The sequence below is a fragment of the Homo sapiens genome, chromosome 17 (assembly GCF_000001405.40).
Source record: "Homo sapiens chromosome 17, GRCh38.p14 Primary Assembly".
In the NCBI taxonomy this organism is placed as follows: Eukaryota; Metazoa; Chordata; class Mammalia; order Primates; family Hominidae; genus Homo; species Homo sapiens.
The window spans coordinates 40,801,166-40,816,900 of NC_000017.11; the positions used below are offsets into that span (position 1 = coordinate 40,801,166).

General features: G+C 38.7%; 1 long non-coding RNA gene across 2 annotated transcripts; it reads left to right on the forward strand.

Annotated features, from left to right (window-relative positions):
- On the forward strand, positions 169-12,963 carry LOC105371776 (uncharacterized). 2 transcript variants are annotated; one of them, XR_934752.2, is made up of 6 exons: positions 169-399; positions 2,481-2,635; positions 3,630-3,689; positions 7,984-8,151; positions 9,398-9,482; positions 12,783-12,963. It is a non-coding gene; the product is annotated as an uncharacterized LOC105371776 (long non-coding RNA). The 2 variants fall into 2 exon arrangements; XR_934753.2 differs by lacking the exons at positions 2,481-2,635; positions 3,630-3,689.

The window sequence follows — 15,735 nt, forward strand, 5'->3', positions numbered from 1 at the left end:
TTGATGTGGGTTTTGGGATTTGAAGACAGGTCCAGAAGAAGGAAATAGTGGCAAAGAAATTTCTGGTGTTCTTGAGAAAACAATTGAGGCGATTGACTGTATGATCATATAGCAAGAAGAAAGTAAAACCAGAGGGACAGATGGACTGAAGAAAAGGGCAGAGGGTGAGTCATTGGGTATCCTTATGAGGTCATGGAGCAGGCGGAGTGTGAGGAGGAGATTGATAAAGGTGAAGGATGACAGGCTAAAATTGGATAGTGGAAACCAGAATTTAGAATTTTAAAGTAGGCACAACTCCAGGTGTCACCAAAGTCCACAGAGTAGTCATGGGAGTGGACCAACAGTCACTGGAACAAGAAGTCAGAAGTGGATTGGACCTGAAAGGCAAGAGAGTAGGAGGTCAGGAACTATCTGTCTGTGACATTAAATGTACCATCTATAAAGGCGTGAAGTTTCTCATGATGGCAGGAGACAGGAGGGAAGTGGGCTGTGAGCCATTGTCAAGGTTTTTGGATGATGAGGCAGAGGGGAGTGTATGTGGTGAGGGGCCATTGGATGGCATTTGCCTCAAAAGAGGAGTCTTAGCATAAGAATTAAGTGGCACAAAGCTAGATGTGGCATTGGGGATCTAGAGAACACAGACTCTGCCTTGAAGTCCTTATGTTAGGTGTGTGGAAGTGGGAGCAGAAGAGGAGATGGAAGTGAAGAAGGAGGATGGAGAGGAGATGACAAGAAAAGATGTGGGAGAAAATGAGAGGAAAAGATGTGGGAGAAAATGAGAGGAAAGGGGAGAGAGATGGGAATGGAGATCGAGGATGAAGGATAAGTTTCTGATAGAAAAAGTTGTTAGGACAATTCAGCAGAAAGTGGTTAATGCTATTAAAGAATCATTTCAGTTGAACTATTTTGCAGAGAGGTCTGCAGAAAAGGTTCATGTAATTGTCAAAGTGTGGGTAAAAAGAGTTTCCACCTCATAAGCTTGTTGAAAAACTAAATGAGATCATGCTTAGTGCGGTGCCTGGCAAATGGAAAACTGTCAATGAATGGAAGCCATTATTATTACTATTGGTGTTGTTCCTAACTGGGTGTGTGAGTGTGGAGGGCTGGGACATCAGGCTGGAAGGGAAGGAGAGGTGACCAAGGAGAAGCCTCCTTCCTCTTGAGGCCATGGCTGTGGAGGGTGGGGATGAAGAGGGTTGGCAGGGCAGGAAAAAGGAGGGACAAGGGACAGGAGACACTTGGTTGGACGTGACTGGTTTTGAGTCCACTTGGTTGGATTTGACTGGGTTCAGGGAGTGATGACAAGTATAAAATTGTTTTGCCACCAGAATAGTCAGGGGTGGTCTCCTGGAATTGCCTTGGCCTAAACAGTCTGGAGCCTGATTAGCTGGTGCTGAGGGTGGCTCGCGTGTGGCCTCTAAGATGCATTTTCTGGACAAAGTTGTAGGATATTTTTAGAGTTGCAAAGAGCCTTAGACATCACCTAATTTAGCCCCTTATTTGGCAGTTCAGGGCAACTGAGACTCAGAAATGTTGAACAATTTGCTCAGAGCTGTGAGGGATAGGCCAGGTGAAAACGTGGCATATGTTCAAGTTGACCTTGGTATTCTGGCACCGTGAATATATTTAGACATAAGTAATTACTCTATGATGCATGCTCATACAAATACTTTATATGTTGCCATTTGTAGTCTTTTTTTAAACATTGGCAACCTCTTTAATATCTAGAGACTAGATATTATAAAATTAGGACTCACTTGTCCAGTATGTACACAATATACACAGTATAACAAAGTTAAATAAAACGCATGTAACACATAGGGAAATATATAAGCTGAAATTTTCTAGCATACACCATCCATAGTCTTAACACGCGTGAGTTGTAAAATGATTCTAATTGAATTGCTGAGATTTAGCTATAAGGAATTAGAATATGAAAATGTATAAAGAATTGCAAATCTCTCATTTATTACTAAACTCCAAATAATAATTAGACAACTCATTGGTGTAACGTGTCTGTATCCTTTATAAGTAAGTAAAATGTTTCCAAAAGGCCATTTTACAACAAGAAAAGAAACAACAATGCATTGCATACTTGAAAATTGCTAAGAGAGTAGAATTTAAGTGTTTTCACCACAAAAGATGATACAGATATGGGGTGATGTGTGGGTTAATTACTTTGACTGAGCCATTCCACAATGTACACGTATTTTCTTTTTGTCTTTTTTTTAACTTTTCTTAATCAAAAGAAAACTGGGTTTTTTTCCTTTAAAAATGTATACATATTTTAAAACATCACCCTGGGTTTTTTTTTGTTTTCTTTAAAAAGTACATATATTTTAAAGCATCATGTTGTACAACATAAATATACACAATTATAATTTGTTAATTTAAAAAACACATGAAAACAACAAAAAGAAAAAATGACAAACTATTTCTTTAAAAAGTATATGCTTAAATAAGCGGATTCTCCTTTTCAGCCAGCGTCTGTCATTAGGATCCTGACCATCCCAGTTGCCGGGCACGCTCACCCTTCTCCTTCCACCAGGGGGCAGGGCTCGTTTACATATGGATTTCGCCGCGCAGATGCCAGGGGCGGAACCTCCTCTCCAGCCTGGGTCCCTGCTGTCCTCAGGTGGAAATGATTAAACCTCTGCAAACAAGCAGCTTCAGCATTTAATTTTGTGAAGTTACAGAGTGTGATAAGTACAAAGACACGATGGCCTTACATTGATATGCTGCTTTACAGCTTCCAAAGGGATTTCTTGTATATGATCTCATTTGAACCTTATAATGAAGGTGGGAATTAGGAAGAGAGAGGTTTTCTTTCCCTGTTTTAAAGATAAGGAAACAGAGGAACCATTCAAGGATACACAGTGTGAAACGGGATGGACAAGGCCCAGAACGCGCCTTGTGTCTCAGTGAGGTGGTCCTTTCAGTTCATAATTATCTTAAGGTCAGGTAGAGAAATGAAAACCAAACAATGCAAAAATCTGTCTTTAATGTCTTTAATTTGTCTTCTTACAAATTCTTTGCAGAATTTCGAATTAATAGCAAAATAAAATTTTTGGCTACAGTTCTGCTATCAGGTGTCATTCATTCATTCACTCATTTGTTCAGTCAAGAAATATTTAGTGATCACCTATTTTTTTAAAACGTTTATTTTAGGTTCAGGGATACATGTGCAGGTTTGTTATACAGGTAAACTCATATCATGGGGATTTGCTGTGCAGATTATTTTGTCATCCAAGTACTAAGCCTAGTGACCAGTACTTTTTTTTTTTTGATCTAGTGAACACCTATTATGTGCCAGGCATTGCATTAGTGGCAGGTGGTACCAAGGGGAAGAAAATAGAGGCCTTCTCAACTCTCATGGAACTTATTGTTTATTGGGGAGTTGAGCCTTAAGCAAATAAGCATAAAATTACAAATTGCTGTAAAAATTAGGGAAGGAAGGAATATGGAACTATTAGGGGAGGACCTAATTTAGATTAAAGCAATCCTTTTGAAGAAATGACATTAAGCAGACACTGGAAAGATGAGAAAGAGATTGCTAGGCAAGGGGGTGGGCGAAGAGGCATTTTGGGAGGGGAAGAAAATATAAATAAAATAAAGTTTTTTTCTTTTAGCTTGAGAAGAGAAGGGTATGGTGCCTTCAAGGAACTGGAAGAAAACCATTATTGCTGGTGGTGAGTGTGCAGGGAGAGAGGACTGCAGAGGGCTGCCCATGAAGAGATTTATTGGACCAGGCTAGGGATTTTGAATTTGAACCCAAGCATAAAGGGAAGCCATTGAGAAGTTTAAGTAGATGAGTGATGGAGAATGGATGGGAGGGGAGTGAGAGTGTGTCGGGGGAAACCATTACAAAGCCAGTTGCAGTAATTCAGATGAGCCAGGGTAGTTAAGATAGAAGTGGATGGAATTGGGATAATTTTGGAGAATGTCTTTATTGCACCTGGTAATACATAGCTGTGGTAAGGATGGGGAGGACAGGAATAGAGAAGAATTAAAGATGATTCTTGAGATAGGCAAAATAATGGCCCTACCAAAGGTGTCCACGTCCTAACCCCCAGAACCTGTGAATACATTACCTTCCATGGCAAAAGAAACGTTACAGATGTGATTAAATTAAAGATATTAAGATGGGGAGATTATCCTGGATTATCTGGGTGGACCCAATATAATCATAAGGGTCCTTAGAAGGAGGAAGGAGTGTCAGAGTCAGAAAAGGCAATGGGATAGTGGAAGCAGAGACGGAGATTGGAAGATGCTATGCTGCTGTCTTTGAAGATGAAGGATGGGGCCATGAGCCAAGACATGCATGTGGCTTCTAGAAGCTAGAAAAGGCAAAGAAATTGATTGTTTCCAAATGGTGAGTGATGGTGCTAGCATTTGCAGCTATGGTTGTTTCTACTGTGTTGTGCTGTCTTCTGGGATTATGTCACCAACTATCAATACCCTACTACCGATGTTGATCAGAAATAAAGATTCTGGGCTGGGTGCTGTGGCTCATGCCTGTAATCCCAGCACTTTGGGAGGCTGAGGTGAGTGGATCACTTGAGGTCAGGAATTTGAGACCAGCCTGGCCAACATGGCAAAACGCTGTCTTTACCAAAAATACAAAAATTAGCTGGGGGTGGCCACGTGTACCTGTAATCCCAGCTACTCAAGAGGCTGAGTTGTGAAAATCACTTGAACCCCGGATTTGGAGGTTGTAGTGTGCCAAGATCATGCCACTGCACTCCAGCCTGGGTAACAGAGTGAGACTATCATCTCAAAAAAAAAATTAGCGAGGCATGGTGGCATGCATCTGTGGTGTCAGCTATTCGGGAGATGAGATAGGAGGATTTCTCGAGCCCAGCAGGTAGAGGCTGCAGTGAGCTGTGGCAACAGAGTGAGACTTTACCTCAAAAACAAATAACAGCAACAACAACAAAGAAATAAAGATTCTGTAGAGATATCACATGGATCACAGTTTTGAAGTTGGGTACCTCAGTGTAGTATTTGTAACTACGCCCCCAGTTGTTCTATAATGCTCTTCCCAACCTTTTGAAATATTTAATTTCTACCATCCACCAAGGCTCAGTTCAAGAGCCACATCTTCTAGCAAACCTTCCCTGACATTCCATTCTGATTTGGATGTCACGGTGCCTTGTCCATGGTCCTTAGCCCCCGACATGTACATTTTCTATGGCATGTATCACAGGGAATGGCTATGTCTTAACTTATTATCTCCATGGCCTAGCACATTGCCTGCCTCAATGATATTTGTTGAATGAATGAATGAATGTATCCCACCCACTGAATTAAAGTCTCAGGGACTCCAAATCCCTACCCTCCTCCTGGCAAGGTGCTGGGGATGATTGTTCTGAAAAGAGCTGGTGCACCAAGCCCTTGATGTAGTTCAGCAGCTTCATCCGTTGTCGGACACAGCTGTTTCTGCTACACCATTCCTCTGCTCTGTTCATGGTGGTGAGGGGTTTTTTTTGCACCAGCATTTGCAGCTTTTATGAAGCTCCCATAGGTAACTGTTTATTTCAGCCCTTCTCTTGGTTCCTGAGAAAGAGGGGAACAAATAGCACCAGTGAGTGAATTGGAAAGCATTTGAGTGACACTACCCAGATTTGCACCTAGAAGTGTCGTCACTGGTTATGATCCAGTGTCTCAAGCCCCTAAATTACCCGCTGTGGGGGAAGTTGCTATTATTGGGGGCAGTCTTTAACGGAGTTTAGGTGTTTACCATGAAGAAAGTCATGAAGATGGAGAGCTAGAAAAGTTCCTAGCACTTGGGAGAGCCTGGATGGCATGAATTATTTTTTCCATTTTTTTAAACCCCAGCATCCCTGGATTTGCCTTGGGAGGTCTTGTAGTCCATGGACTCACTTGTAGGTGACTCACTGATTTTGTCACTGGCTTAACCAATATTTATTGAGCCTCAGCTTGTGTGTTGAGAATTGTGCTAGGTGTGGGTTTACAGCTACCTATGAGTAAGGCAGACAGACCTAACCTTGCTGAGATTAAAATCTAATTTACAAAAGGACTACCCAAGGTGTTACCAGGGACATGCTGACAAGATTTTTTCCTACGCTCTGTCGTCCAGGCTAGGGTACAGTGGCACAATCTCGGCTGACTGCAACCTCCACCTCCTAGGTTCAAGGGATTCTCATGCCTCATCCTCCTGAGTAGTTGGGGTTACAGGCACATGCCACCACGCCTGGCTAAATTTTGTGTTTTTTAGTAGAGATGGGGTTTCACCATGTTGCCCAGGCTGGTCTTGAACTCCTCCCCTCATGTGATCTGCTCACCTTGGCCTCCCAAAGTGCTGGGATTACAGGCGTGAGCCACTGTATCTGGCCGCTGTAGAGATTCTTGATACACCAGGAATGAAAGCCTAGTCCTCAATCTCTGTGCAAGGGGTACTGCTGCTGAGGGCATATTTTGGAAGTGTGTGTGTCTATGTGTGAATGTGTACACATGTGGTCATCATAATGATAGGGGTTGTTGCTGGCATTTGGGGTCGGGGAGGGATGCCAGACATAATGAAATGCATGATACAGTCCTGGACATCAAGGAATTGTCCTGTGTTCCACATGACTTTTGAACCATGAGCTATTCATGAAAGTGAAAAACCTGTTTATAATTACCTGAATCTGGAAACGAGTTCTAAGTTATGTAAAAACACAAAGTTTTTTTTTGTGTGTGTGCAAAGTTGTAACTGAATTTTTTTAGGAATGTAATTGCTGTATAAATCAAGGAAGATTGTACTTAAGCTTATTTTGCCCAGAATTTGATCAAGGGTTGTTTAAAAAATCCCATCACCAACAACATTGCTGCTCATTGTATTTAAGTCAGTGATGTGCCCACGTTTATCAGTCTCTCTTCATTTGTACCTTTTTGCATTCTCGCTGGTTTTGCATATAGATGCAATCATTTGACTACTTCATTACATCTTCTGGTACAATCATACTCGAACATTTCCATATTGAAATGCAAATAATTTTATTACAAGTTATCTTTCCTTCTGTTTTTCTTTTACATCTATCATTAACCTTTCTACACACTATAGATTATAATCATAGATAATATAAACTTCCCATGCATAGTTTCTTTATCTTCTTTTCTTTTTTTTTCTTTGAGACGGAGTCTTGCTCTTGTTGCCCAGACTGGAGTGCAATGGTGTGCTCTCAGCTCAGTGAAACCTCCGCCTCCCGGGTTCAAGCAATTCTCCTGCCTCAGCCTCCTGAGTAGCTGGGATTACAGGCATGTGCCACCACACCTGGCTAATTTTTATATTTTTGGTGGAGATGGGGTTTCACCATGTTGGCCAGGCTGGTCTCAAACTCCTGACCTCATGGTCTGCCCGCCTCAGCCTCCCAAAGTGCTGGGATTACAGGTGTGAGCCACCATGCCCGGCCAGTTTCTATATATGATATATAAAAATGTATATATGAAACACAGAAGTGATAAGTATATGTTTTGTACATGTGATATTTATAGTACCCACCCCTGCTCCTCCTCCGTATACTAGGATAAACTGTGTGTTGGAAGGATATATTACCTATGAATTTCATTTCTCAATAGTAAAGGGGGTGAATCAAAATATTTGCTATAAAAAAGGAATGTAAGTCAGAACTACTGGCAAAATATAGGAAGGAGCAGGGCTAAGCACTACAGAGCACTGGTCTCCAAGTAAAGTATGTACTTTTAGGAGATGCAGGCAACCCACTGGGTGGGAGGAAGAGGGTGTCAGAACTTCTATTTAAGTTTTTGTATTAGAAAGTAAGAATTAAACTAAACTCATATTTAATATAAGAATGACATTGGCATTCTGATTTTATCTTTATGTCAATCTCTCTTCTCAATCAGCTCAAAAGATATTCTGAGAAAAGAATGTTCACCCCACAATGTAGAGAAGTGGATAGTGACATCTTCATTTGCTTGCAATGCACTGTGACATTGCAGTTTATGTCCATTGTATTTCAGGATTGTATTGCTGCTTTTAATGGAGCGAATCCCCCCTCCCCACCAGAAACAGCAAAGAAACAGCAACTGGAAGATAACAGAATCATGAAAGCATGATTGAAGAACAAAAAAATGGGACAGCTGACACTTCCACTTCTGTTAAGAGTTCTTTGCCAGCCACATTATTGGGTAAAATATAATACAATAATCATCATAATGGTGGTATTATATTCCACAAGAAATCAGCTGATAAAATTTGGAGTTCTCAAAAAGATTATTTAAAATAAGGATTTGGGTCTACAGTCTTTATGCTAAATACATGTTGTGCATTGAGCTATCTGATAGTATATATACACATACATATATTTTATATAATTTTAAAATAAATATGGACATCTTGGGGGTGCATACTCAAATGTTTTTACTGTAATAAGAAATGTCTAGTAATCACTGCTCTAGAGGAAGGAGCTCTAGGCTTGAAATCAGAAATCCCACATATAAGACCTAGGTCTGCCAGCTGCTATCCATGAGACCTTGGGGAAATCATTACATATTTCTGAACCCTGCATATGTCCCCAGGTTGTTCTGAAGATGATTTCTACATAGAGGTGTAAGTATATTGAGAATTGCAAAGATCTGTGCACACACACAGTGTTACACTGTTCTTCTATACTACTTCTTGACATACTTTGGTATGTCCTGACCGCATAACACAGTATCCCGCACATGGAGATAATTATAATTCTAAGTAGTGTTTATGAACAATAGAGTCTTATCACTGTTTAAATGGCTTTCCATAATTAGAACAGAGTGGAAATTCCAGTGTGCTTATTTCATTTTTCCCCTCTTAACACAGTTTCCACAAATAAATACTGTAAAGCATGGTGTTCCTGCCAAGATGTGATATCTTAGTCTTTGTCCCCATTTTTGCAGAAGGTAATCAGCTCTACTGACAGGGCAGATGAAAAAACAGTGAAATAATAGAAAGTTTAATTTGAATGTGTATGTAGATTACCTGTAGACATTTTGGAAGGCATAGGTTGCTAGAGGTCATCTCAATTGTACAGGGAGGACTATTGCATTGTCAAGCTCCCATGGCAACCTGGGCTTACTTCTGTGTAGTGCTTTCTACCATGTCTGTGTAGTTGTACATCTATTTCTACTTCTGAGTTCTTTGAAGGCAAGGACTGGGTTTCATTCATTATTTTTAATCACTGTTGCCTGGCACAGTGCTTGACACTGCAGAAGGAATGATCAACCAATACATATTTTAATGCATACTGTGAACCAAGGTCTATGATAGGCGTTGGATTGATTTATATAAATTCCAGTTATTTTTTAAAGGCAGAAAATGATAGTTGGGCTTGGGGAGATGTCAGTGAAAGGGAATAGGTGATGGGCAGTAGTGAGACTGTTACGCATTCTTTTTCCAAAGAGAAAGTGGAAGATGGACTTTTGATTGGAGAAAAATCTTGGCAGGAAGATCACCATGGAGCGTAGAAGGGTGAGGATACACCTAGGTGAGAGGAGACATTGCCGTGAGTTTCTATATTTCTTTTGGCTTGGCATCAAGTAGCGATTACATACCAACTCCTTTTAACTCTTCCCACCATAAGTAACCCAGTTGTCCAAACATTACTCATTCACATTCCCAAACCAACTACCAAAACAACATTCCAGGAGAAGCAGGAGTTTTAAAGGTTGTGCGTTATGACACCTCCATCTTTTCTTTCTAATAACAGGCTGCACAAATATAAACGTGTGATTACAGGCAGGCTATGGTTCAACTTTAATTAATCCGTTGGTTCTATAGATTAAGAATATGATTCACAAAGTTTGTTCATTAAAAAATCCATTATAAGGAAATTATTTACCTGTGCTATTTTTTTTTTTTGCTATAAAGAAATTTTCATGCTCTTTAGTCCTCAGAGTACAAGCTTTTTTTGGAGCTGAAAATACAGCAGAAACTGACCACACTAGAAAAATAAAAAGCTAAATGTTCAATTGCTGTTTTTAATTTTCATTTTTTTTTAAAAGTCAGGTTTATTGAGGTTTAATGTGCATAAAGTAAAATTTACCTTTTTTTGGTGTATAGTTCAATTAATTTTGACAAACAAATTCAGTTGTACAATGGCCACCATAAACAAAACAGAGAATATGAGAATACTTCCATCATTCCAAAAAATCCTCTTGTACCTCTTTGTGGTAAACACACTCCCTTTACCCTCTGACAATCTCTGATCTGTTTTTAGCTCTCTAGTTTGACTTTTCCTTGAATTTCATATCAATGAGCTATAACATATAGCCTTCTGAGTCTAGCATCTTTCACTTAGCATAATGCTTTTGAATTTCAAGATGTAATGTGGTCTGTTTCTTTTGTAGCATTTCATATATGGGTGTACCATATTTTTTTCCATTCACTAGTTTATGGGCATTTGGGCTATTTTCAGATTTCATGATTATGAATAAAGCTGCTCTAAATTTTCCTCATAGGTCTTTATGTAGATATTTTTATTTCAGTTGGATAAATGTCTATGAGTGAGATTGCTAGATTGTATGTTAAGTCTATGTTTAACACGATGACAAACTGCCAAACTATAATTTTGCATTCCCACTAGCAATATATGAGGGTTCCAGTTGCTCAGAATCCCTACTTGCACTTGGTATTGTCCATCAAAAAATTTTTTTTGAGTCATTCTAATAGTTGTATAGTGGTATGTTTAGAATTTGTATTTCCCTAATGTCTAATGATGTCAAGCATCTTCTTTGTGTGCTTATTTGCCATTTGTATCTCTTCTTTGATAAAGTATCAGTTCAAATCTTTTGTCCATTTTTTAATTGGTTTGTGGTTTTTTTCTTGTTATTGAGTTGTAGTTTTTTATATTTATATTCTATATGCCAGTCCTTTATAAGATTTGTATTTTTGTGACTATTTTCTCCCAGTCTTTGGCTTTTTAAAATTATTTTGACGGTGACTTTCAATAGATGACACAAACAAATGGAAAAACATCATATGCTCATGGATTGGGTGAATAATGATATTGGGTCAATATTGTTAAAATGACCATACTGCCCAAAACGAACTACAGGTTCAATGCTATTCCTATCAAATCACCAATGTAATTTTTCACAGAACTAGAAGAAACTATTCTAACATTCATATGGGACCGATGAAGATCATGAATAGCCAAAGTAATCCTAAGTGAAAAGAACACAATGAAATACAAATGGGCTATATAATGATCAAAATACATGAGCAGATGTTTCACCAAAGAGGAGATACGGATGGCAAATAGCCACATGAAAAGCTGTTCAGGCCAGACACAGTGGCTCACGCCTGTAATCCCAACACTTTGGGAGGCTGAAGTGGGTGGATCACCTGAGGTCAGGAGTTTGAGACCAGCCTGGCTGACATGGTGAGACCTCATCTCTACTAAAAATACAAAAATTAGCTGGGCATGGTGGCGCATGCCTGTAATCCCAGCTACTCAGGAGGCTGAGGTAGGAAAATCACTTGAACTTGGGAGGCAGAGGTTGCGGTGAGCTGAGATTGCTCCACTGCACTCCAGCCTGGGCGCCAGAGAAAGTCTCTGTCTCAAAACAAGAAAAAAGAGAGAGAAAAAAAAGAAAATAAAAAGAAAAGCTATTCAGCATATTTTCCATTAGGGAAATGCAAATTAAACTTCAGTGAGCTATAAGTACATACCTATTAGAAAAATACTGATAATGCCAAATACTGATGAGGATGCAGAAAAATTTGCTCTCCCATTTATTGCTGGTGGCAATATAAAATGGTACAGCTTCTCTGGACAACAGTTTGGCGGTTTCTTACAAAACTGAACATGCACCTACCATATGACCTAGCAATTATATGCTTGGACATATAACCCAGAGAAATGAAAATGTATGTTCACACCAAAACGTGTACACAAATGTTCAGTCTCAAAAGGTTACATACTGTGTGATTACACTTATATAGCATTCTCTAAATGGTAAAACTATAGAGATGGAGATTAGTAGTTGCCAGGGGCCAGGAACTGGGAAGGGAGTGTTGAGGTACACATGTGAATACAAAAAGGTAGCATGAAGGAGTTCTTTTGTGGTTATGAAATGGTTCTGTATCTTGATTTGGGTGGTGGTACAAAAATTGTACCTATACATGGGGTACAATTGCACAGACACACAATTTTTTTTTGGTTTGTGGTTTTTTCTTGTTATTGAGTTATAGTTTTTTATATTTATATTCTATATGCCAGTCCTTTATAAGATTTGTATTTTGTGAATACACATGCAGGTTAGGAAAAACAAAAACTGAGTAAGCTCTGTAGTTAAACAGTGATGTACCAATGCCAATTTTTAAATTTTAGATATTATACCCTAGCCTATAGAAGATGTCTCTATTTGGGGAAGGTGAGTCAGGAGTACACTGGACTCTACTATTTTTGCAATTTCCAACGAGTCTATAATTATTTCAAAATTTAAAAAATGTGATTACACATTTTTTTCTGCTTTTTTTTTACTACTTATATGGATGTTTAAGACACTCATTTGGATTATTTCTAGTATGTTTGTTATGGGTTTAATAGTTTATCATTTACTGAATAAACCTTACTTTCTTAGGGTTTAGATTCTTCCTTTATCATACACTAATGTCCATTTATATATAATCATTTCCTACACTCTTAGTTCCAGTGATGAATTAAATTGTGCTTCAGTTTCTTCATCTGTAAAATGGAGATAATAATAGTATATATGTCATAGAGTTCATTCCTTCAAAAACGATATTTTTGGTACCTAACCTGTGTTAGTCACTGTTCTAGTGCCTCAGGATACATGAATGGATAAAGTAGACGAAGATCAAGCGTTGTCTTTCTGGAGTGTACCGTCTAGCAGGGGAAAAGGATGACTAATAATGAATACATTGTATAGTAAGTTGGAAACAGTGCTGTGAAAAAAAGAAAAAGTGGAAAACCTAGGCAATACCATTCAGGACACAGGCATGGGCAAAGACTTCATGACTGAAAAACCAAAAGCAATGGCAACAAAAGCCAAAATTGACAAATGGGATCTAATTAAACTAAAGAGCTTCTGCACAGCAAAAGAAACTATCATCATGGTGAACAGGCAACCTACAGAAAGGGAGAAAATTTTTGCAATCTACCCATCTGACAAAGGGCTAATATCCAGAATCTACAAAGAACTTAAACAAATTTACAAGAAAAAAACAACCCCATCAAAAAGTGGACAAAGGAAATGAACAGACTTCTCAAAAGAAGACGTTTATGCAGCCAACAGACATATGAAAAAATGCTCAACATCACTGGTCATCAGAGAAATGCAAATCAAAACCACAATGAGATACCATCTCACACCAGTTAGAATGGCGGTCATTAAAAAGTCAGGAAACAACAAATGCTGGAGAGGATGTGGAGAAATAGGAACGCTTTTACACTGTTGGTGGGAGTGTAAATTAGTTCAACCATTGTGGAAGACAGTGTGGCAATTCCTCAAGGATCTAGAACTAGAAATACCATTTGACCCAGCGATCCCTTTACTGGGTATACATCCAAAGGATTATAAATGATGCTACTATAAAGACATATGCACACGTATGTTTATTGTGGCACTATTCACAATAGCAAAGTCTTGGAACCAACCTAAATGTCCAGCAATGATAGACTGGATTAAGAAACTGTGGCACATATACACCAGGGAATACTATGCAGCCATAAAAAAGGATGAGTTCATGTCCTTTTCAGGGATATGGATGAAGCTGGAAACCATCATTCTGAGCAAACTATCACGAGGACATAAAACCAAATACCACATGTTCTCACTCATAGGTGGGAGTTGAACAATGAGAACACATGGACACAGGGTGGGGAACATCACACACCTGTTGTGGGGTAGAGGGCTGGGGGAGGGATAGAATTAGGGGAAATACCTAATGTAAATGACGAGTTAATGGGCGCAGCCAACCAACATGGCACACGTATAACTACGTAACAAACCTGCACATTCTGCACATGTACCCTAGAACTTAAAGTATAATAATAATAAAAAAAGTGGAGCAGATAGGGGAGTTGGGAGATTGGCAGGTAAAATTTTAAGCGGAAAATCAGAGTGGGTCTCAAAGAAAAAGTGACAACTGTGCAAAGGCTTGAAGGAGGTAAGGAAGACCATCTTGTTAAAGAATATTAACCAAGGTAACATCAAAAGAGAAATGGAGAGACATCAAAGAATTTTGATCAAATATAATTAGACTTACAATTTGATCTAATATATTAGACTTACATTTTAAAAGGATAACTATGGTTCTGTGTTGAAAATAAACTGTAGGGTAGTAGCTAAGCTTAAATGAGTTCATATACATGTTATATGTACTGAGTCTACCTACCTATCTGTATCTATCTATCTATCTATCTATCTATCTATCTATCTAATCTATCTATCTATCCATCCACACATTTACCCACCTACCTACCTATCTATCCATCCATCATTTACTCAGAACAATGCCCGGTGTGATTTAAAGGCTATTATTATCATTATTTTCATTGTCAAGCTTAGTTTAACCACAACTACCTCATATAAGGTAGCTATCCCTTATTGTATAGGTAAGTAAACAGACTCAGAAGGGTTGAAGTAACTTGTCCAAAGGTACATAATTTGTAAATGCCAGTGCCAGGATAGGAAGTCCAGGGATCACTGTGTTTCAGTTGCATGCTCATAAACCATGAATAAGCTCTTTCCCTAATTCCCATTCTCAAAATGCAATATAGATGAGAAATATTAGATGCATCCTATTTAACCTTAATCGAGTTACTTCCCTGATAAAGATGACCCTAACAAAGCTATTTCTTCACTCCCAAGCAAAATATCAAGCCATCATGGGCACCAAGATTAGGGTGCAAAGCTTTTAGGCCTTTAGCATCATAAGAGAACATCTTTGGGGAAACAGGATTTTATCGTGTAATATTTTTTGACATGGGTGCCGAATTGGCTCTGCCAATCTAATTAGGCACTACCCTGCTTAAATAGCAGGATTCTGTAATGACTTTAGAATCTGTAAGAATGCATACAGAATTTTTTGATTAATAGGTACATGCAAATTTATTTGGTAAAAATAGTGCCCTGTGCTATTTAATAATTTTTAAAAATAATTCTGTAATTTTTTTTACTATAAATACCAATGTCCTTATTAAAGACAAGTGGCTTATTTAGACAGATTATCTTTATTAAACCATAGTGTTGGGCACTGCGGCATGTGCCTATAATCCCAGCTACTCAGAGACTGAGGTGGGAGGATTGCTTGAGCCCAGTTCAAGACTAGCATGGGCAACACAGTGAGACTTTGTCTCATTAAAAAAAAAAAAAAAAAAGCAAAAACAAACCATAGTTATCCAAGTCCAATCAAGAAAGCAGCTGTTTATCTGAGATAAAGTATTTACTTTATCAGAGAGAATATAAATAATTGTTTAAGGAGGTATTGCAAGATTGAAATGGTAAGAAGACAGGACCACGATGTATGCAGACTTTTCAGGAATGAAAGTTTGGGTCACCATCCAACCACATAGAGGACTCTGACTGCTAAGATTGTGGCCTGGGGGAGGAGGGCAGAATGGGTAGAAGAGACAAACTTAACAGCAAGCACTGCTATCTCATAGTAACATATGTGTACTTGCCTCGTATCAGTGGTATTGAATATAAAAAATCTATTTCTTCAGAATAAGGTGAATGGTAACCTCAGATTATAAGTACAATAGGTCCCGG